At 40.3% G+C, this 22,242-nt stretch overlaps 1 long non-coding RNA gene across 1 annotated transcript, besides 2 other annotated features; it reads right to left on the reverse strand.

Annotated features, from left to right (window-relative positions):
- Window positions 1–3,610: 3,610 nt before the first annotated feature.
- Window positions 3,611–21,742, reverse strand: LINC01364 (long intergenic non-protein coding RNA 1364). Its single transcript, NR_038324.1, has 4 exons — window positions 21,656–21,742; window positions 7,663–7,765; window positions 4,931–5,285; window positions 3,611–3,954 (listed from the first exon to the last, which is right to left on the reverse strand). It is a non-coding gene; the product is annotated as a long intergenic non-protein coding RNA 1364 (long non-coding RNA).
- Window positions 6,025–7,486: an enhancer, noted in NCBI's record as "VISTA enhancer hs174". NCBI's record gives its function as "enhancer in: forebrain[9/12] | limb[3/12]" and the evidence as "EXISTENCE:transgenic organism evidence [ECO:0001131][PMID:17130149]".
- Window positions 6,197–7,314: an enhancer, noted in NCBI's record as "VISTA enhancer hs322". NCBI's record gives its function as "enhancer in: forebrain[4/5]" and the evidence as "EXISTENCE:transgenic organism evidence [ECO:0001131][PMID:17130149]".
- Window positions 21,743–22,242: the final 500 nt, after the last annotated feature.

The raw sequence follows: 22,242 nt of genomic DNA on the forward strand, positions 1-22,242 counted from the left end.
TTATTTAGCAGGGCTAAGAGTAGAGTCGAGGTTAGTGGGCACTTATTTTGGGTGTAGAATTTAAGGAGGTGTCAAAAAATCAGTAATTAAGATAATCTTTTAATGCAGCATTTAAAAAAATTAAATCAATGCAAAAAACATACATGATGAGCAAAATGTCACAAGTTTAAGTAAAGGTGGGGTCAATATTACTTACTTTGTTTTTGCTGCAGCCTCTAACATGTCGGGGTATTGTTATTAAGGCCCAGAATCCCAGAATTGCTATCGAACGCTGGCATTTGGGGCATTTTGGTAAAATTACCTGCACTGATGATGTGCTTTATCCTGTTAGGTATAACTAGTTTCTTTCCTCTTAAAAAAACATTGCATTTTGTCTTTATCCAACCTGAAATGCCAGCTCATTTAGATTGCCCACATTTCAGCCTTGCTCTAAGAGGTATTTCTTTTGAATTTTGAGAAATCTTAACTCCTTCATGATGAATAATTAGGTATAATTGATAATAACTCTGCCCACAGATCGTTGTTGCTGAGGAACAAGAACAAGACTTTCGTAATCATGTTAGTTCAGAAAGCAAAATGGATCAACATACTCCACACAAAGTAGTAAAGGATGTGTTTAGAATCTTTGAATGAGCTGTGGCTTGAGCCACATAAAAGACCTTACAATAAATTAGATTATCTAAAAGTCATAATACACACACATGAACATTTTTAGGAAAACTTTTTACATATTCTAGTATGATGTGAAAAGCAGACATCCCTCAAAAGAACTGATGTTTATATTTGTTGTTTTAAGATGGGAAAGCTCTGAGACATTCAAAGAGAACAAATTATACCTTTACTTATACACCAACAATTATCAGATTATTTTAAAATTTTTGTTGGCTATACTTTCTTTTTTCCCATTAATTGCTAGGGTCTAAAAAGATACATAAAATTGTAAATAAATTACTTGAACATACCATTAAATCCAAGCTGCTTTTATTACAAAGGGAAAAATGGTTAAAGAAAAATATCTACTCCAATTTAATGAAACATTCTTTGATGTTGATAGAAAATGGTGAAACAAAGCAAAAAAGACTTCTTTTTTTGTGTGTATTTTTGCGTAGATTCTTGACTGCAGTGGATTTGGGTGCCAAAGTACCAGTTCTTAAAGCCCATAATTTCTATATGTTAAATCATGGGGTATCTCACAAATATCACCTTAGGTTATAAGGACCTGGAAAAATATGTATAGATCAACACACCTATAGATTCAAAATACAGAATATCAATAGAAAAGGGCAAGGTGCTTTGTAGATATGTGTACATTATGGCCTAAGGTCATAAAATTAGTAAGTTAAGTCTGGTAACAACACGGGGGGTAGGCAAGATTTGCACCAGGTATGGAGGCTGCAGGACCCATATACTCAATTACTTGGTTATACTATATAGTATGACCAAAAACCATGATACATTCCAGTTTTTCAATAAATGCCATCTGTACCCAGAGCTGAATAGCCAGTACAAACCATACCCTGAATAATATTTACCAGTGGTTTTGTTTTTTGTTTTTTGTTTTTTTGGCAGTGGGTGGGAGTAGATGTTTATGAAATTGATAATAGATGAAATATTTTCTCTTAGAATTCTAGGCTATGAGGAAATTTCTATCGTGATAAAAAGGAGGGTAGGGAGAATGGAAGGAACAATTGCCTAGATAAATAGCTCTGTGAGGGAGTTTAAGGGGCTGGGGTCTCTCACTGCAGTTCAGGAAGAAGGATGTTACAAGCTCCACAAACACCCCCGCCGTACATCTCATTTCAGTGGTTTTGTCTGTCTGATTTCACGACTTTCAACAAGACCCTCTGCCCTACCCACCCACACAGGTGCTTTTGCTGTGCGTGGTAAAACTCAAGCTATGATTTTGTGTACTTCAAGCTCATGTAAGGCTGTGACATCAGGAGGTCTCAGACATTAGCAGAGTTGGCAGTTTTTAAAAGTTGATGTGATACAGCATTTGGTGACACTTCACAGGTGTGTCAGGGAGAGCTAAGGCGGAATGAAAATTGCAACAGAAAAAACGCAGACTCCAATGCTCTTGATGAAGTTTGAGGTACCACTGTGGAAAAAAAGGCCTCTGGTTCGTTAAAGCTACAGCCTCTGGAAATCGAATCCTTTCTTTCTCTGAGAGTAGAGGGAGGCAGTAGGAGTCAGAAGAAATGAAGGGGGCAGGTTTGAGTTTTCTGATTTGTTACTGAGTGAATCAGGAAGATAAACAGGCTTGATTTTGAAAAGACGGGCCATCCTAAATGGATTTCTGACACTGAGGTCTAGCTAGGCCTTTCTTTCTTCGTGGGGATGGATATAATTCACAAAACTCCATCAACCACCTCATGCTGTAAGCAATTGTTTTTTTACCCTCTTTAAGTAGTAAAACATGTTTTAAAGTTTTAAGAAAGAGGGAAAGAGAATTCAGGCTGGCTTTGGAGCTCTTGAAAACCAGACAGTCTTTGCTGTGGGTCAAGTAAAGGTGTAGCTGTAATATTTTTCTCCCTAAGTTGTGTTCTATATTTTTTTAGCCTGGAATTTGATTTCTAGCAGGCCTACCAAAGCATTCTGCCTCTGGAATCCCCTTGTTTTGCATGCAGATGGCATGTTAATGAACTCGCTACTGTGCATTTTATCCCACTCTGGACACATTTGTGACATTATTTTTCAAAACAAAATGAGGTTAGGCAGTTGGTTGATTGGGCCTGATGAGAATTGGGTGACTAAGTTTAAAACATTCTCAAAACAGTATCCACTTACCCAGGGTTGCTGCTAGATGTTCTATGAAACAATCCTTCCCTGCTAAAAAGGTACTTGGATTTCCCTGCGTACATAGAGACTTGTAGAACTGTGTGCTTTCCAGAAGGTGTGTGATCAATTTCATTCTAACACTAGGTAATTCTGGGCTGTCTTTTTGATTTCTTGAGTATCTGTGGGCATCTTGTGCATCTTTTTTTAAACTTAGGTTTCTACACCATCCTCCTGACTAAGGGAGAGTCGGTACTCATTGTTGTCTTACGGGGAATGTTATGAAAATTAATGATGGACTATTTCCCTCGTATTTTGTGCTTTGTGCCTTTTAGGAGGAAGGTGCTTATGCCTCCCCACTCTCTCCTCTTATTTTAAAGCATGTAATAAAGCACATATTGCACTGTAGTGAAATAAGCACCAAACTGGGAGTCAGGAGACACTTGAAATTTAATTCTAGTTTTGAAAGGAAGTCAAATGGCAACTATGATTAAATTTGTCTTTCTAATCACATATTAGCCATGGGCTAGTCATTTAATCTCACTACCTCATCTTGCCCATCTGTTAAATAGGAATTTACTAACAACAGCTGTATTTGCCAATGCATTTGATATATCATTAAAGGTAAAAGGGCTTTATATTCTGAGGATGAACACTATTTTGGACTGTAAATACTGAAACACTGGAAAATATAATAACTTCTCCGACTTAAGTGTTAATTATAAGGTCTTCAATTTACTTCAAAAATTATTGCAACCAACTCTTGGCCTGTCTTCTCTAAGGGAGGGGAGTGATGATATAGATTAATCCAAAATAATGGATTACATTCAAATTATTTTTGGTTTAGAATGTATTGTGTGTTTCTTTAAGCAAGGTAATAATGCTTTGTTAGGCAAATGTTAGACAAAATTTACAGTTTCATAAACTCAGACCAAATAGTTGGTAGAAGGTAGTTCAAGAAAGAAATGAACATTTCTTAAATAATTATATGGCCCAGGCATCTCCTTCATGTGTTATCCCCAGCATACAACTTTGAGGAAGATGTTACCATTCCTACATTTGCAGTTGAGGAAGCAGGAACTTAGGTTAAAAAACACTTGCTCAGAGTCACACCGCTAGAGTTGTCTGAACAGAGATGAATCTGACCCCAGAGCCTTATCAATAGGTTTCCATGGTCACCTATAAAGAAAAGCATATTAGGATTAAAGCTTTGCCATATCAATCCCCATCAGAGCATAGAGTTGATGCTATACATTTAAAACCATAGCAAACTAGTGAATATTAAAAATATCTGATTGCCTTGGGAAGGAGACATTGAGCCAGCTATCATTGTTTACATGTGAAAATATTAATAGTTGTAACGGCTTTTTGATGACACTTTCCTTCAAAAGGATAATGACACTTATTTCCCATTTCATAGCTATTTGGGAAAGAAGAAGGAATTATCATTTGTTGTTTATCTAGTAATTCAATGAGAGCTAACAACTATTGAGCTCAGCACTTTGTATGCAATTACTCGTTTAATTCTCATAATACCTATAAAGTTTTATGGATCCATTTTACACATATGGAAACTGAGATTTAGAAAAGTTGGGTAATTTGCCCCATATGTTCAGTACATGGTAGAGCTCATGCTTAAATCTAGGTGAGTATGAACTATGCTGTTATGTGTCAGGTACTGTACCTCATTTAACTTTTGTGATAGCCCCTCAAGTAAGGTGTCATCACTGCCACTTAACAGGTAAGGAAATGGAGGTTCTGCATGTTTGCATAATGTGCTGAGGCCACACAGATTTGCCCCACTTGGAAGCCCATGTGCGAACCAGAACTGTGTCACCTGTGCAGTGTGTAGCTCAACCCTGTCGAACTTCTGTTTGGTTATAGAATAAACTGGGAGGAAGTGTCTAAAACTTGGGCCATTTGTGTCTTCAATCTTAGAGATCTTTAGAGCACTTTTTTTTTCCTATCACCATCTAGAGATTTATCAAATCTCATTAGCTACTTTTAAAATAATGCGAGTGGAGCTCTGGGTTGGTTAGCATAATTTTTCTTTACATTTTCTAAAAATGGCCCCAATTGTGAGTCACTCTCATTTATCAAAGGAACTTCACTATATCTGTAGCATTTATTTTTTTCCATTTTCTATGAGACAAACCTTTGGCTGGAGCATATTTTAATTCTAGTTGACCCACTTTACTCCATGTTGCTTTGGACAAGTAGAAGTCTCTTCTGAACTTGCTTATGGGCTTTGCAGGCAGGCAAGGTGAAGATCACAGATATTTGCAAACTAGTTCAAGTCTTACTCAAACTCAGGAGGTAGATTTTAGGATAGAAAACTAGATTCCAGTGTAGCGGTCTTCAACACATGGATTCTACAGCAATGGAATTTGTGAGCTCTTTCCCTAACACTAGTGCTGCTGCCTCTGGGAAGTCTTCTTAGATTTTCCAACCACATTTGAGAGTCCTCTACTGGATTTAAATAATTTGCTTTCCAAACAGAATGCGAGCTCCTGGAAGGCAAGAATATGTCTCATTTATTTCCATATCCCTGTTCTCCAGAAGAGTGCCTGGCATCAGTGAATCTTTGTCGAATGTCTGAACAAGTGAATGAACAAATGAATAAAAATACATATTACCTGCAGGATTCTAGGTTGACTTAATTCTGAGCTGCTGTTATCTCTTTCTAGGCAGTGCTGCAGTACTCCTGCCTTATGTGAAGGTGTGGAATTACAGTCTGCTCTTAGACATCTTTGACTTCTGTTGATTACAGCCATGGCCTTAAAATGATTTTTACCCCAGTGATCCCTGGGTGGATCATCCTTTATTCCTAAGAATGTTAGCATCTCTCCATCCTGGGAGCTATATGCTCATCATAGAAAATGTGCCCGTATGTTAGAGGTCAAAAACCGGCTTTCTAGAAACCACATACTGGAGGCAGCAGAGCCTCCCAAAACATATATTTGAACTACTTTTACAATTCGTATTATTTTCTCAAAAGACTACTCTAGAGGTTATTTTAAATCTTTCCTTCTGAACCATACAGAGAATCACTTCCCATGTACGTGGAGAACCAAGTAGTCTCATGAAGGCTTTGGGAAAAGCCTTTTTGTTCTGTGCTCATGGAACCTTATTTTTAAAAGTCGCTATCTGGCGTGTGACTATCTGGAAAAGGCCGTCACTGTCATCAGGTACTTGGATTGGGGGGCCCTGAGATGGTGGTGGGGAAGCAGAGAAAAGCCAGATTAAGAAGATTTCCTTTGTTGGGCTGAATTTTCAAATCCTTTATGGAGCTGCAACAGAGATAAAGGCTCAGGACAAATGCAGCGAACTCCATCTTCCAAGCAGTGCCATAAAAACAGCCTGACTCTTGCCTTCCTCCCCGCAAAGTTCCACATTCTATAAATAAGCATTCCTAACATGGGCCCTCTTAGGCCAACTCTCAGCCTGGAGCTAATGTTTTACAGCAGAGTTATGAACCCCTAAAAATACAGGTTTGTGCCACAAACGATGGCAGGCCCATAAGTATAGCAGCACTACTGGGCACCACTATAATAAGATGGAGATTTCACCATCTAATACCTAGATCTCCATTAGTAAATTCCACAGCTCAGTAAGTTTGCTTCATTATCTTATTAGGTAAAAAGAGCAAGCCAGCGCACCCTGACCAAGTCAGCCTGTCCAGAATGCTAATAGATGTAGCACTAAATTATTCTCCTCTTTTAAAGAGTTGTGTTAGTGACATTTTGTTTTTATCAAGTAATGCAATTAGACTTCAGCCTTAATATCTCTGAGGCTGTCACATCCCTGAACTCCGCAGCACTGCTTGCCAGCCGCAATCAGAAATAACTCTGTCCCTTCAACTTAATGAAAAAGAAGTACTTGGCCATAAACTTGTAGTCATCCTCTATCCAATCATATTGTCTTGAGTAATTAAAATGATTAGCTTAATTAGCTTAATTAACTAAATTTGACTACAGGACATGGCCATATGGTGAAGCAAAACAAAGATGGGAGCTAATTAAAGTTAAAATAATGCAGGTTTTAATTAACTCAACCCCTAGGCATCAACATTTTCAAATTTATCCAAGCTGATAATTAAAAAGTCCTCTTGCCCAAGCAACATTTCTTCTCTGAGCTAATTAAATCTGGAAATGAATTAGCAACACGAAGCTCCAAATATTAATTCCTGCTAGAAGATGACTTCACTTCCTAATGAAATTAATTAGCTGCGCTGGACCTTCAATCAGACGCCAAACGCTGTCCATGAACACAGACCTCATGTAATCTAGCGCAAGGATACAAGCCCTGGGGCAAGAATTTACAATAGTAATGAACACTCTTTAACTGGGTGCCTCTCCTAATATACCAAAGGAACATGAAGATCCCTTTGTGCCATGGGCTTCCTCTCCTGTTTAAACAAGTTGGTCTCACAGATAGTTAAAAAGTAGGTTGCAAATAATATTACCTGTAAAGCATACTGCTACCGGACTGCAGATTAATCAGTTTTAGTTCTCTCCACTGAGGTCGTGGTGTGAGTGTGTGTGTGTGTGTGTGTGTGTGTGTGTATACACTCTCTTATGTGTGTAGAGAGAAAGTATCATATCAAAGATTTGGTATAATGGGGAAAGTGTAACACCAAGACTCAGGAGTCAACTTGATCTTCCTCTAACCAGCTGTGTGACTCAGGGCAAATCATGTCACCTCTCTGGGCCTGTTTCTCTATATCTTAAAAAGAGGGAGACTATGGGCTCTCCAAGGTCCCTTCTAACACTAAAATTATCTGATGACATTCTGTGAAACTGGAAAGACTGTTTGATCCTGACCAAGGGTAAGATGCCCACGTCCACCCCTCACTCCCCCTCCATCCTGTAATTGAAGGCAGCTTACTTTGCACCACTCCAGGGCAGAGCCACAGTGATTCTGGTCCATGAGCGAAGTTAGTCACATGGAAAGGATGCATTGTGGTAGTTACATTTCAGTGAAGTACCTGCTGGAAGGAACGTTGAGATTTAAAGATACTTCAAGCCGACATTAGCCACAGAGGAACAGGCCTATTACCGTAGCACTGTTCTTGCCGCCATAGATAAAAGTTGTGTCAGTGCTTCTGTTATAAACCTCTGTTTCCAGGGGTTTACAACTGGGCTGTAAAACTGCATCCCACATTGAATCTGGGCCCATAAAGGCCTGACCTGGGAGTCACATTTTGCATATTTCTATATAATCATCTATACCCATAGCTGCACTCTTAATGGACATACATGTAGGCTCATGCAGGGACAGAGGCTCTCAAACTTGCAATAAACAGGGACAAATATTTGGGTCATTTTTATGGGAGCACAGAACCGGAGCTCATTGCTGCCTTATGCTGCTGTGCTTTGGAGTTTCCTGGGTGCCACTCTTTCATTTTAGATGATCTGCATCAGACGATGAATTTGATTTTAGGTACTGTAGATGGCATTTTAGGTACTGTAGACGGCATTTCTGATTGTCTAAAATAACCTCTGCATTCTGTGATGTGGCAGATTGTATTTCCAAAGATGGCTGCAGCAGTATTTCCTAGCCCACATCCTTTCCAGAACCCTGCTACTCCCCATCAAGAGATGGAGTCTAATTACCCTCCTCGTGAATCTGGGTGGGCTAATGACTCACTTGTAACCAATAGGATGTGGCAGAAGTGATACTGTTTGACCTCTGAAGCTAGACTATAAAAGATGATGCAACTTTTGACTTTGAAATACTGCCTCTTGAACTCTTGAGTCTTGATGTAAGCAATCCAACTGCCCTGAGGCCTCCATGTTGTGAGGAAGCCCAAACTAAACCTCAAGGAGAGGTCTTGAGACTACATGAAAAGAGAGAGAGAGATGCCTGGCCAGCTCCAGCCACTCTCTGTCTGTACCTGCATGAAAGATCCCAAGCCTAGCCAAAACATTCCCAGATTCCTGGCCCACAGAAACAATAAGAGATAATAAAATGTTGTTGATTTTTTAATGTTTAAATTTAAATTTTTTTTTTTTTAATTATTTTTATTTTTGCAGAGATGGGGTCTTGCTATATTTGCCCAGGCTGGTCTCAAACTCCTGGCCTCAAGTGTTCCTCCTGCCTCTGTTTCCCCAAATGTTGGGATTACAGGCATGAATCCATCACTGCACCTGTTGTTGATGTTTGAAACCACTAAATCTTGGGGGTGATTTGTTATGCAGCAGTAGTAACCAGACGTGGAAAGAAAAAGTAATAACTGCTTAGGGAAGAGTTTCCAGCAGACCCAGGAGCCAAACAGATATCGTTGTTCCAGCCCTTTCATGTATGGCTGCTAAATGAATATGAGAAAGGGCAGCAAAATATGGAACCATCAACTAGACTGGATACCTCAGTTGTCTCCTGGCCTGCCCCTGGCTAGTGGCAAAGTCTTTGGTAAGTCACTTGATCTCTTCCAGGCTTTCACTCTATCACCACATGAATGGATTGGGTTATAAAGATATTGGAGGCTTCTTCCAGTTTTAAAGATTTTGCGGTTCTCACCTCTCTGCTTCTATCTATTAAGAATCACCACGTCTGTGTTTGAGATATCTTGGCATGGGAGTCACAGTGGCCTTTTCTCTTAGTGGTATTGCCAAAAGGATCTCATAATTTCTGCAAGAAACTCATGCTACGAAGCAATAATGGGAATATATTTGCAAAGTCCTTCACCTGTTCTTTTAATCCTCTAACTTTCCTCTTTATCTCTTTTTACTTATGCATTCCTTCAATAAATATTTGCTAGGCACTTGCTAGCATCAAGAACTGTTCTGAGCACAGGAGAGCAGCTGTGAGTAAGATAGAAATCGTTCTTTTCTTATGGAGCTTACATGTGAGTTGAGGAGGTACAATAAACATCTCAGTAAAGAAAAGAACCAAATAATTTTAGATAGCAATACATTCTGTGAAGGCACTGGAATTTCTTTGAGGGTGTTACTTTGGTTAATGATCAGGGAAGAATTCTCTGACGAAGTTACTTTGAGCTGAAACTTGGACAATATGAAGAGCTGACACAACAGAGCTCCAGGCAGAGGGCACAACTTGGGCAAAGGCCCTTAGGCTGGAACAGTGTGGTTGAGTTTTGGGGAAGAGATAGAAGGCCATTGTGACTGGAGCAAAATGAACAAGGCAGAGCATTATATAGGAGGAAGTTGGAGGGATGGGCAGGGGCCAGATTTAGTAAGGTTTTCTAGGGGAAAAGCCCTTTGAATTTTACTCTAAGTGTGAATTGGAGAGTTTGTAGAAGCAAAATGATATGATCTGATTTGTGGGTTTTTTTGTTTTGTTTTGTTTTGTTTTTGTTTTTTTTTTTGACGGAGTCTCACTCTGTCACCCAGGCTGGAGTGCAGTGATGTGATCTCGGCTCACTGGAACCTCTGCCTTCCGGGTTCACACCATTCTTCTGCCTCAGCCTCCCGAGTAGCTGGGACTACAGGTGCCTGCCACCACGCCCGGCTAATTTTTTGTAATTTCTTTTTTTTTTTTTAGTGGAGACGGGTTTTCACTCTGTTAGCCAGGATGGTCTCGATCTCCTGACCTCGTGATCCGCCCGCCTCGGCCTCCCAAAGTGCTGGGATTACAGGCATGAGCCACTGTGCCCAGCCTGATTTGTGCTTTTAAAATATCACTCTGCAGTCCATGCCAGCCATCAGTTTGATGGTTTCCCAGAGGGGGTTTCAGCATATCTTGGCCGTGCTGGCTAATGGCACTAGATCAGGTTGCTGAGCTGCAGAGAGAGGAGTGTGGGCCTGGACGAGGAGGCAACAGCTAAGCAAGAAGAATGCTCAGGAATTAGGAGGATGATGAGGAAGCGTGGCTAATGTGTAAGGACCTGCAAACACTGACTCTGAATGAAACACAGGGGCAAGGGTGGGAGAAATGAGACTGGAGAGAAGACAAGGGTCAGATCAGAAAAACAGCCTTGTCAACCAAGCTGAGGAGATTGGACTTAATCCTAAAGGCAATAGGTTTCTGATGACACAATCAGATTTCTGCTTTAGCTGTTATGTGGATGATGATTAAAGCGGGCAAGCTAGGAGCAGAAAGACAAGCTAGGATTGTGACAGGAATCAGGGAGGAGATGGTGGTGGCTTGGGGCAGGGTGGGAGCAGTGCGAATGAGGAAATTTAGTTGGGTCTGAGAGTGGATGACGTTATGAGCAATAGGACTTGGAGAGTAACTGTATGTGGGGAAGCAAAGGAGAGTGGGGTTTGGGAGGTGCAGACTTCTCTGACTCTCATGCTTTGAACACCAGAGGTGGAGGGGGCTTCTGGGGCCTCAAGTGAAGCAATCTCTTTTGGTCCCTCTGTCTCAGGTAAATACTCCCAGGCTGTCGCCAGTGTTACTGGACACTGAGGAAAGAGATGAGAAAAGAAAGTAGTGGCCCTTTCCTGAAGGAGATAGAGCAAGACGATTTTCCAGTATTTGTGTTTGCAGTGTAAGAATTTAGTTAAGTCTATGTAGCTGCTAATGTTTTCCAGCTACTAAATCCAGTTCTTTTCCAATAATCATCATTAATAGCCCTAATCTAACAGCAATGTGTAAAAGCAAGACTTTTGCTTTTGTTGTCTTCAAAACTTCCAGTCCAACATCACTGAGCACCTGCTCTCTGTCAAGCCCTGAAGAGACAAAGAGGAGCCAGGAGCTGGATAGAAAATCTCTTAGAAAAGAAATACCATTTGACCCAGCAATCCCATTACTGGGTATATGCCCACAGGAATATAAATCATTCTGTTATAAAAATACCTTCACACATATGTTCATTGCAGCACTATTCACAATTGCAAAGACATGGAACCAACCCAAATGCCCGTCAATGGTAGACTGGATAAAGAAAATGTGGTACATGTATACTGTGGAATTCTATGCAGCCATAAAAAGGAATGAGATCATGTCCTTTGCAGGAATATGGATGAAGCTGGAAGCCATTATCCTCAGCAAACTAATGCAGGAACAGAAAACCAAACACCGCATGTTCTCACATGTAAGTGGGAGCTGAACAATGAGAACACATGGACATAGGGAGGGGAACAACACATCCTGGGGCCTGTTGGGGTGGGTGGGGCTGGGGGAGATAATAGATAATGCATGCTAAGCTTAATACCCAGATGATGGGTTGATAGGTGCAGCAAGCCACCATGGCACATGTTTACCTGTGTAACAAACCTGCACATCCTGCACATGTACTCTGGAATTTAAAATAAAATAAAAAGTAACGTGAAAAAGAAAAGGGAAAAAGAGAATCTCGGAAAAGCACTCTGTTTTGCAGATAATCTACCCGCCACCTCCTTCCTGTCCTCCCTCTCCTGTGCCCCCACAGCATTTTGTCACTCTTCTTCTTAATAGTTTTTGAAAAGTTAACAGAGTGAAAAAAACAAGGTTTAGGCACACATAATAAAGAAAGCATATAAATATATATCTTGCAGCTTCAGCAACTTGAGTTCATCTCAATTTTCTTCAAGTCAGGGAAACAAAAAACAAAAGCAAAACAGAGAAGCATTTCTCAGGCCAGCCCTCAGTCTTGTTTTGAGAAAAGTCTCTCTGATTCTGGAGTTCAGAGACTAGTAATGAACGTACAAGAGTGGAGCTCTTTGACGTTCATTGCTTATGGTATTCTTAAGATCTCTATCTTTTTCACTGCATGGCCGGCAAAACTAGAAACTACTTAAGGCAAGATTTTTTTTTTTTTTTTTTTTTTTTTTTGCCTTTGTATAAGCTATAACCTTGTCTTCTAGGGCAGGGTTATAGGAACAGACCTCATTTAAAATCCCAAATCTGCTACCACCCAATAGCTGTATGACATCTTGGGTAGTGTTACTTAACCCCTCTTAGCCTCAGTTTCCTCATCTGTAAAATGGGGATAACTATGGTACCTACCTCATAAGGGAGTATTTAATGGTTAAGAGTATAGACTCTGGGAGCCAGACTGTCTCAGTTCCTACCTTACCTCGGCCACTTACCACGTGGCCTTATGCAACCACTTCACCTCTCTGACCTTCTGTTTCCTCATCTGCAGAATGGACATAAGCATGATGCCTGCCTCATTGGGTTGTTATGGGGATGGTAAAGCATTTATAACCCACTTGTATGAAGGGGTTCTCCCAAGAAGTGGGCCCCTAGGGAAGCACTATTCACATAGCACGTACTTTTCCAGTATTTGCTAAATAAATAAAAAGGACATTTGAGAAGACTAAATAAGAAAAGGTATAAAGCCAAATGGCTAGCATAGAATCAGTGATTGAGATTTGCAACCCCAGTCTGTACTCTGACCCCAACTTCAGAGTACAGTCTCAGGACTGGGCACATGGTCAGTGTTAGGCAAGTATTGATTGGTGACACTCTAATCAACTCCAAATACCTCTGGGCCTCCAGGTTTATGTTCTTTCTTTGCAAGTGTAAGCTGGTACTGATTTCAGAGCTTGTGAGGGAGATGTGATTTTCCTTATTTACTAACATTTACTTGGATTGGTGTCTGGGACACCCAAAATATGTTATGAATCAGTCAGAGGATAACAAGATCTGCAGTACTATACAGATTACTCACTAATTTGACATTTGGGGAATTTTTGCAAAATGTTAGGGAACATTTGACAGGATGCAAATTGCTGTATCCATAAAGTACATTTGACTCTGAGGATGGGTGGCACTCTCCCCTGATGTGGTTACATCCGTTCCTAGCACCAGCTGTTGCATCCTGAAAATGTTTCTTGTTTTGTTTTTCCCTCCTTGAAGGAGACAGTGCTGGAATTTTGCTCTGAAAACATAACAAAAATTCATCGAGCACCTACTATGTGTCAGGTGTCTTGTGTCATTTAATATTCACAATCATCCTGTGAGGTACATACCATTAGCATCTCTATTTTTCCAGTGAGGAGTCTGCGATTCAGAGAGGTTAAGCAACTTGCTTAATACTACACAGCTCTGAAATTCCTAAGCTAGAATTTGAATCTGGGTTCAAATCTCCAAAGTCTGGATTCCAATCCAGCAGCCTGTCTCTCACACTACCAGAGAGCATCATCAGATTCTGATTGGGTACTCCCATAATTAGGAGGGATGGAGGAGAGAAAAATGTCTTGGTAAGCCTTAGTTTTAAACAACTGGGCAGCAACTCTGGCCATAAATATTAATACTTGTTCTACATTGTTTTATACCGAGACCTGAATTTGTTGGTAACCTAGTGCTTTGAAGAGCTTTCTCTTACTGTGACATTATTTTCTAAGACAAACAATGAAGACTGTGTTAGGGGAACAAGAACTGCCCACCCAGGCCCCCATCCTCGAGGCACCATTATCACTTTTGCATTATTTTTGGCATTGTACCATCTTACTGAGGCTTACCATACCCTGTGAGGCAGATTTTCTCCCGGCTTCATATAGGTTATGGGAGAACCAAGGGGCATATGCATAGGATCTGGGTGTGAGGAATATAGGATGCCCTATAACAGGAAAAGGGCTCTTGGGAAAACTCTGGTTCCTAGGGGTGGCTCTCTGGGGAACCCAGTTGTGTGGAAGAGCCATCCCAAGCAGAGGGCTCTTAGAGAGGAACCACACATCAAAAGCGCAAATAAATGCCTCCTTGTTCCAAAGCCATACTCTTCACTTGCCATTTTAAATGAAAGAAAAATATATATTTCGCAAGAGGTAAGAGACTCCTAGGATTTTTAATTTGTTCCTTTCATTGTTCTCCACTATCTTTGTAGGTATGTCAGGTCTGCCCAAATGAGGGTCGGTTTCTCAAGACAGAAATTGAATGCTCTATACCTTGTGTTCACCCCAAACTGCCTTGTAGTGTTGTGTATGTGGTAAGTGCTTAATAACTACTTGTTGAAATGAAAGCGACCCTGGAACAAATCCATCCAATGAATTTTAATTTGTTAGTACTTTAAGTAATAATAGTGACTAAGTTATTTCTTTCCTACTTAGGAATATTGTGCAGAATGTGCAGGTTTGTTACATAGGTATACACATGCCATGGTGGTTTGCTGCACCCATCAACCTGTCATCTACATTAGGTATCTCTCCTAATGCTATCTCTCCCCTAGCCCCGCACCCCCTGACAGGCCCCAGTATGTGATGTTCCCCTCCCTGTGTCCATGTGTTCTCATTGTTCAACTCCCACTTCTGAGTGAGAACATTCCGCGTTTGGTTTTCTGTTCCTGTGTTAGTTTGCCGAGAATGATGGTTTCCAGCTTCATCCATGTCCCTGCAAAGGACATGAACTCATCCTTTGCAATGGCTGCATAGTACTCCATTGTGTGTATGTGCCACATTTTCTTTATCCAGTCTATCACTGATGGACATTTGGGTTGGTTCCAAGTCTTTGCTATTGTGAATAGTGCCGCAATAAAAATATGTGTGCATGTGTCTTTATAGCAGAATGATTTATAATCCTTTGGGTATATTCCCAGTAATGGGATTGCTGGGTCAAATGGTATTTCTGGTTCTAGATCCTTGAGGAATCTCCATACTGTCTTCCACAATGGTTGAACTAATTTACACTCCCACCAACAGTGTAAAAGCGTTCCTATTTCTCCACATCCTCTCCAGCATCGGTTGTTTTTTTGACTTGTTAATGATTGCCATTCTAACTGGCATGAGACGGTATCTCATTGTGGTTTTGATTTGCATTTCTCTAATGACCAGTGATGATGAGCTTCTTTTCATATGTTTATTGGCCACATAAATGTCTTCTTTTGAGAAGTGTCTGCTAATATCATTTGCTCACTTTTTGACGGGGTTGAGTTGTTTGTTTTTTTCTTGTAAATTTTTTTAAGTTCCTTGTGGATTCTGGATATTAGCCCTTTGTCAGATGGATAGATTGTAAAAATTTTCTCCCATTCTGTAGGTTGCCTGTTCACTCTGATAGTTTCTTTTGTTGTGCAGAAGCTCTTTAGTTTAATTAGATCCCATTTGTCAATTTCGGCTTTTGTTGCCATTGCTTTTGGTGTTTTAGTCATGAAGTCCTTTCCCATGCCTATGTCCTGCATTTTATTGGCTAGGTTTTCTTCTAGGGTTTTTATGGTTTTAGGTCTTACATTTAAGTCTTTAATGCGTCTTAAATTAATTTTCTTATAAGGCCTAAGGAAGGGGTCCAGTTTCAGTTTTCTGCATATGGCTAACCAGTTTTCTCAACACCATTTATTAAATAAGGAATCCTTTCCCCGTTGCTTGTTTTTGTCAGGTTTGTCAAAGATCAGATGGTTGTAGATGTGTGGCGTTATTTCTGAGGCCTCTGTTCTGTTCCATTGGTCTATATATCTCTTTTGGTACCAGTACCATGCTGTTTTGGTTACTGTAGCCTTGTAGTATAGTTTGAAGTCAGGTAGCGTGATGCCTCCAGCTTTGTTCTTTTGGCTTAGGATTGTCTTGGCTATATGGACTCTTTTTTGGTTCCATATGAAATTTAAAGTAGTTTTTTCTAATTCTGTGAAGAAAGTCAATGGTAGATGATGGGGATAGCATTGATTCTATAAATTACTTTGGGCAGTATGGCCATTTTCACGATACTCGTTCTTCCTATCCATGAGCATGGAATGTTTTTCCATTTGTTTGTGTCCTCTCTTATTTCCTTGAGCAGTGGTTTGTAGCTCTCCTTGAAGAGGTCCTTCACATCATTTGTAAATTGTATTCCTGGGTATTTTATTCTCTTTGTAGCCATTGTGAATGGGAATTCACTCATTATTTGGCTCTCTGTTTGTCTATTATTGGTGTATAGGTATGCTTGTGATTTTTGCACATTGATTTTGTATCCTCAGACTTTGCTGAAGTTGCTTACCAGCTTAAGGAGATTTTGGGCTGAGTTTTCTAAATATACAATCATGTCATCTGCAAACAGGGACAATTTGACTTCCTCTCTTCCTATTTGAATGCCCTTTATTTCTTTTTCTTGCCTGATTGCCCTGGCCAGAACTTCCAATACTATGTTGAATGGGAGTGGTGAGAGAGGGCATCCTTGTCTTGTGTCAGTTTTCAAAGGGAATGCTTCCAGCTTTTGCCCATTCAGTATGATATTGGCTATGGGTTTGTCATAAATGGCTCTTATTATTTTGAGATATGTTCCATCAATACCTAGTTTATTGAGAGTTTTTAGCATGATGGGGTGTTTAATTTTATCCAAGGCCTTTTCTGCATCTATTGAGATAATCATGTGGTTTTTGTCATTGGTTCTGTTTATGTGATGGATTACATTTATTGATTTGTGTATGTTGAACCAGCCTTGCATCCCAGGGATGAAGCCGACTTGATCGTGGCGGATAAGCTTGTTAATGTGCTGCTGGATTCGGTTTGCCAATATTTTATTGATGATCTTCGCATAGATGTCCATCAGGGATATTGACCTGAAATTTTCTTTTTTTGTTGTGTCTCTGCCAGGTTTGGTATCAGGATGATGTTGGCCTCATAATCTTAGCAGTTGTAACTCAATTAAGAGTGCTAATTCCAAATGCAAACTGGTGGATAGATAGGTTTATTTTTCTGGGACTTAATTACTCCAGAAGTGGTGCAAGTAAAGCTGGCCTCATTTAAAGTCTCTTGGTACACTGTCTAAATGGTCTCCTAAATGTCACCTTTAGAGGCAAGGAGACAGCATAGGCTAGTGAGTCCAGCACTGCCCTGGTTATCTGTAGGACTTGGTACTAAGTCTGGATTTGTTTCTAATTGGCCAGTTAAGCTGATTCAGGTCTCTGGAGCACTCTGAACACATCTGTAAAATGGGGAAATTGAATGAGATGACCTCTCAACGCTTTCCAGGCTTTGCATTCTTCAGATCCCTGGTAGTTTGAAGGTGGAAGGTGCTACCAAGCTTCTCATGATGCCCAACCACTGCCTGCACCACCCAGCTCTCCAAGAGTTGTGCTCAAAACATTGCTTTGGGCCTCTCTGGAGAAGGGCCTTTCATTTTCGGTGTCCTATTATTAACCTTTTTCCAAGCTCTATTTTCCAAGTTTAGGTTGGCTCATCAGAGTTGAACATGGACTGTTTGGATTTTTGCCCAAGCTGTTCTCTGAGCCTGATAGCACATTCATTACTCCCTGCCCATGGTTTCTGCTAAATGACCTCGTTAGTGCTCTAATTACATGTTGCTCTTCAGAAAGTTGGGGGTGGTGGATGAGTTAAGAAAGGCTGAGTACTGAGATGGAGTACATTGTAAACACATTGAATGACACCTACCTTCCCCTGGCCTGATTACCCGTGGGGAGTTGGAGGGAAGTGCTATGCTTTTCCTCTTCTCTTCCTTTTTCAGTACACATCAAAACATAATAATAACACATACCAAATGTGTTGGTAGTAATTGGTAATACATGAATTTGAAAGCTGGATGGTGATATTTTTATAACTTAATTTATGTGGAACCAGAGAATGAAAAAAACAAAAACAAAAACAAAAAAACAGAAAACAAAAACAACGTAGAGGAGAAAGAAATGAAAACAAATGTTTTTCTGAGCACCTACCATGTGCTCATGTAGGTTTTTGTTTATCCTGCCAACAACCCTATGGGCTAGTTATTATGCTAGCAGTAATGAAGAAGTAGGGTCAGAGAGGCTTAAGTATTTTCCAAGGTGACAAAACAAGTATGTGGGAGCATTGGGAATTGAACCCAGGTGTGTCTGATTCCAAATCTCAATATTCCATGCTGCCTCTCCATTCATTCATGCATTCATCCAACAAATATACTCTGATCTCTCTTCTATGACTAAATATAATCTCAGTTTCTGTACTACTATTTCAGAATTAATTCTACAAATTCCTCAGATGAATCTAAACTCGTAGTGGTATATTCTTCCCTTGTGATTTTCTCTGTCCATTTACGTTTCTTATACTTCTGCCTTGAAGATCAGATCACAGATCTGAGATGCAGGACCCTGAGGGTTATATTTAAAGATTACACTGAGCTAACTTCTTATTTTTCCATTAAGAAAACAAGTTCAATGACTTGTTGAAGTGGTAAACTAGGGCCTGTACTTTTTGCTAGACTACGTAATGAGGATGCCAAGAGCAGAGTTGAATTTACTTGGGGTACAGAGAAAGGATGATTGTGTATCATAACAAACATGAATAATTTCAAATACTTTCAAGTTCCCCTTGGGTAGTGTGTGCACATGACAAGAGGTTCTATACCCATCACGCATGGAGATTGATTAGCAAGTGACTTTAACTTAAGCCTGTTAACTACAAAACCACGAGGGTCACATTTTAATGAAAAAGAACTTGTCTTCCAGACTGGATATCTTAAGTGTGTGTTGTTTGTTTGTTTGTTTGTTTGTTTGTTTTCTGAGGCTTCCTGTTGGGTGATGTTAAGGTGAGCTAGTAGAGTCAAATCTTTTACTTGTCCCTCCTGAATTCTCTTGGCCACATTTTTCTGAAAGTGGCGAATGCAGTATGTTGAGTGATGAGAGATGTTCACACTTAGGACAGAATAGATGATGTGATAGTAATGTTAACAGGATGCAACTTTAACCATGTGATGAACTTTCTTAAAACAGGGGTTCTTACCCATCTGATGACTGATTAGTATTTCAGCATAGAAATTGGAATTTGCAAACCAAGCATCTTAAAAAATGTGAGTATTATTTGTTTGACAGACTGTCAAGACACGTGTGCAGGCTTAAGGTATTAGTTTATTCTATAGCAATCAAGTTGTTATTATAACTACAAGAAAACTGGAAAAATAAGACTTTTCACAGTCAAATCATCCATCGGAAAGAAACTATTAAAAAAAAAAACCCAAAGAACAAAACTTTGAGCTATACCCTCAATCTATAGTATGTTTGCTGAATTGGGGGTGTGAAATAGCAGGAAACCATTACTGCATGTGATCATAGTTGTAATGATTCTACTATAACATAATAAACCTATATGTCTGCCTCGAAAAAAATTATAGATCTCATAGTAAAAAGCAACTTTTTATTCAACATTTATCAATTGGGAGAACTGCTCCCTTCTTCTGCAAAAAAGTCATTAAGCTGCATGTTTCACCACAGAATAACTTTTGGAAGAATTATTTAAACCTTCTACAGTAATTCACTTGCATTCCTCTTCTATTTTTAATAACCAAAAACATACATAAGAGATGTAAATATACCTCTAGAATTTTTGAATGACTGGACAAAGCAGAGTCAAAAATTCAACAGCACTAATTACTAGCTGAGCAGTATAAAAGCCTCTGAATAAATGTCAGCCTAGGAGATAAGCTCTTATCTTAATCTAATGACTCCACAGACTTAATTTGTCAGGCCAGCCTAGTTGATGAAAAACAGGTTTCTATTCTCCAGTGTTAGCAGGAACATCTTCCCAAATCTTTGAAGTTGGATAGTAATAACATCAGTGTCATCCTGTAAAAAATCTTGTGACCAAGCCAATTTAATTCCTATTGTCCTGTTACACTAATTAAAGTTGTTCTACCCCTCTTGGACAAATATCTAAAAGTGAAGCCAGTGTATTTTTAGATTTGCCACATTTTGAACTAACCCTCAAATCCCCGTGTTTTGTGATTTTTTTTTCTCATAGTATTGGATCATCAGGGACCATCTATCTTCTTTTGAGAAAGCTGAGCTTTCCAGAGAAATCCATTAATTCAGAGGAATCCTTTAACTGAGAGGCTGTGTAGCAGAGTGGTTACGAGTACGGACTCTGAGAGAGAAAGGCCTGGGGAAATTTTTGCTCTGTCATTTGCAAGCTGTGTGACTTTGAGTAAACTTTCTAAACTTTCCTAACCTCAATTTAATTATCTGTGAAATGGGGGATAATCATAGATATTGTGAGGGTTAGATAATATAATCCATGTTAAGAATTTAGAGTGCCTGAGCCTTATACTTAAACAGTTATTCATTCATTAACTCATTAGTTCATTCAACCAACAAATACATACTGAGTACTAAAAAGGCTGTAACACATGCTAGGCGTTATAGGACATAAGAAGAACCAAAAGGCGAGGCCCTTTGCCTTTGTAAGACTTTGAATAAACTTCCTGTTTGAGGAAGCCCAAGCCTGACATAACGAGCTGATCTCACTATGCCTGGGATAGGATTGCCACAGATTTATCGGGACTTTCCACCTAAACTCCATTGTGAACCCTGTGGCTGGCTTTTCAGTAAAATGGGGATGTAAATTTCCATCTCCAAAGTCTATTGTGCACATGGCATGAGATAATATATGGGGGACAGCCAGATGTTGGTGGCCTCTCAGTTCCTTGTCTCTCTCATCCCTGTGACCCACAATCACACGCATGGTACTTATGGTGCAAATATATCTAGTGAGTTCTCCTGTCTTGTTTCATCCTAGTATTGTCAGACAATGTAATGTTCCTTGCAGCAGTCCATACCCTCTCTGCTCAATCCCCTCCTGATGACTCGAACTGCACCCTACTGATGCTGTTTTATTGCATGGCACTTGAAGATACTTGTTGATCATTGTTTCTTTGATTTCTCATTGTAATGGAATATGGTGATACAATTTCTTTCCAACCTCTTGAAATTCATGCATGTACTTAAAAAGTGGCACACACCTGTAGTCCCAGCTACTCGCGAGGCTGAGGCAGGAGAATCGCTTGAACCCGGGGGGCAGAGGTTGCAGTGAGCTGAGATCGCAACACTGCACTCCAGCCTGGGCAACAGACTGCTACTCCATCTCAGAAAACAAAACAAAAAAAAGTATGCACTGAGAGGCTATACTAGGAATCCCACTAGGTATTCAGATACCTAAATATGTAAGATGCAGACCCTGCCCTTTGGGAACTTGGCAGTGTGAGGTACATGCTGTGACAGAGATGCCTGGAGTTCAGGGGGAGATATTGGGTAGTGGGAAGGGGGACATTCAACTCAGACTGGGCACTCAGGGAAGGTTCTCCAGAGGAGAGGAATAGGGCTTACCTCTGAAAACTCATTAACAGTCCTTTGAGGAAAGGTGTAGGGAAATGATTCCAGGTTGAGAAATCAGCGTGTGCACATGGAAGAAAGTGGTTCAGTAGAAGAGTGAAGGGCCTGGGTGGCGGTGTGCTGGGAGATGAGGTGACACTGAAAGATCATAAAGGTCTTATGTGATGAGGAGTTAGAATTCCATCCTGCAAGCAACAGGACCCATTGATAAATTTTAAGGCTGTTAATTTTCATTAACGTGGGTCTTGGGCCCAGAAAGCAGTTTATGTCTGTGTTTTGGGGTTTCTGTTCACCATTTTCTTTTCTTTTTTTTTTTTTTTTGAGACGGAGTCTCGCTCTGTCTCCCAGGCTGGAGTGCAGTGGCGCGATCTCGGCTCACTGCAGGCTCCGCCCCCCGGGGTTCACGCCATTCTCCTGCCTCAGCCTCCCGAGTAGCTGGGACTACAGGCGCCCGCTACCTCGCCCGGCTAATTTTTTGTATTTTTAGTAGAGACGGGGTTTTACTGTGTTAGCCAGGATGGTCTCGATCTCCTGACCTCGTGATCCACCTGCCTCGGCCTCCCAAAGTGCTGGCTGTTCAC

Source organism: Homo sapiens, chromosome 1 (assembly GCF_000001405.40).
Source record: "Homo sapiens chromosome 1, GRCh38.p14 Primary Assembly".
NCBI lineage: Eukaryota > Metazoa > Chordata > Mammalia > Primates > Hominidae > Homo > Homo sapiens.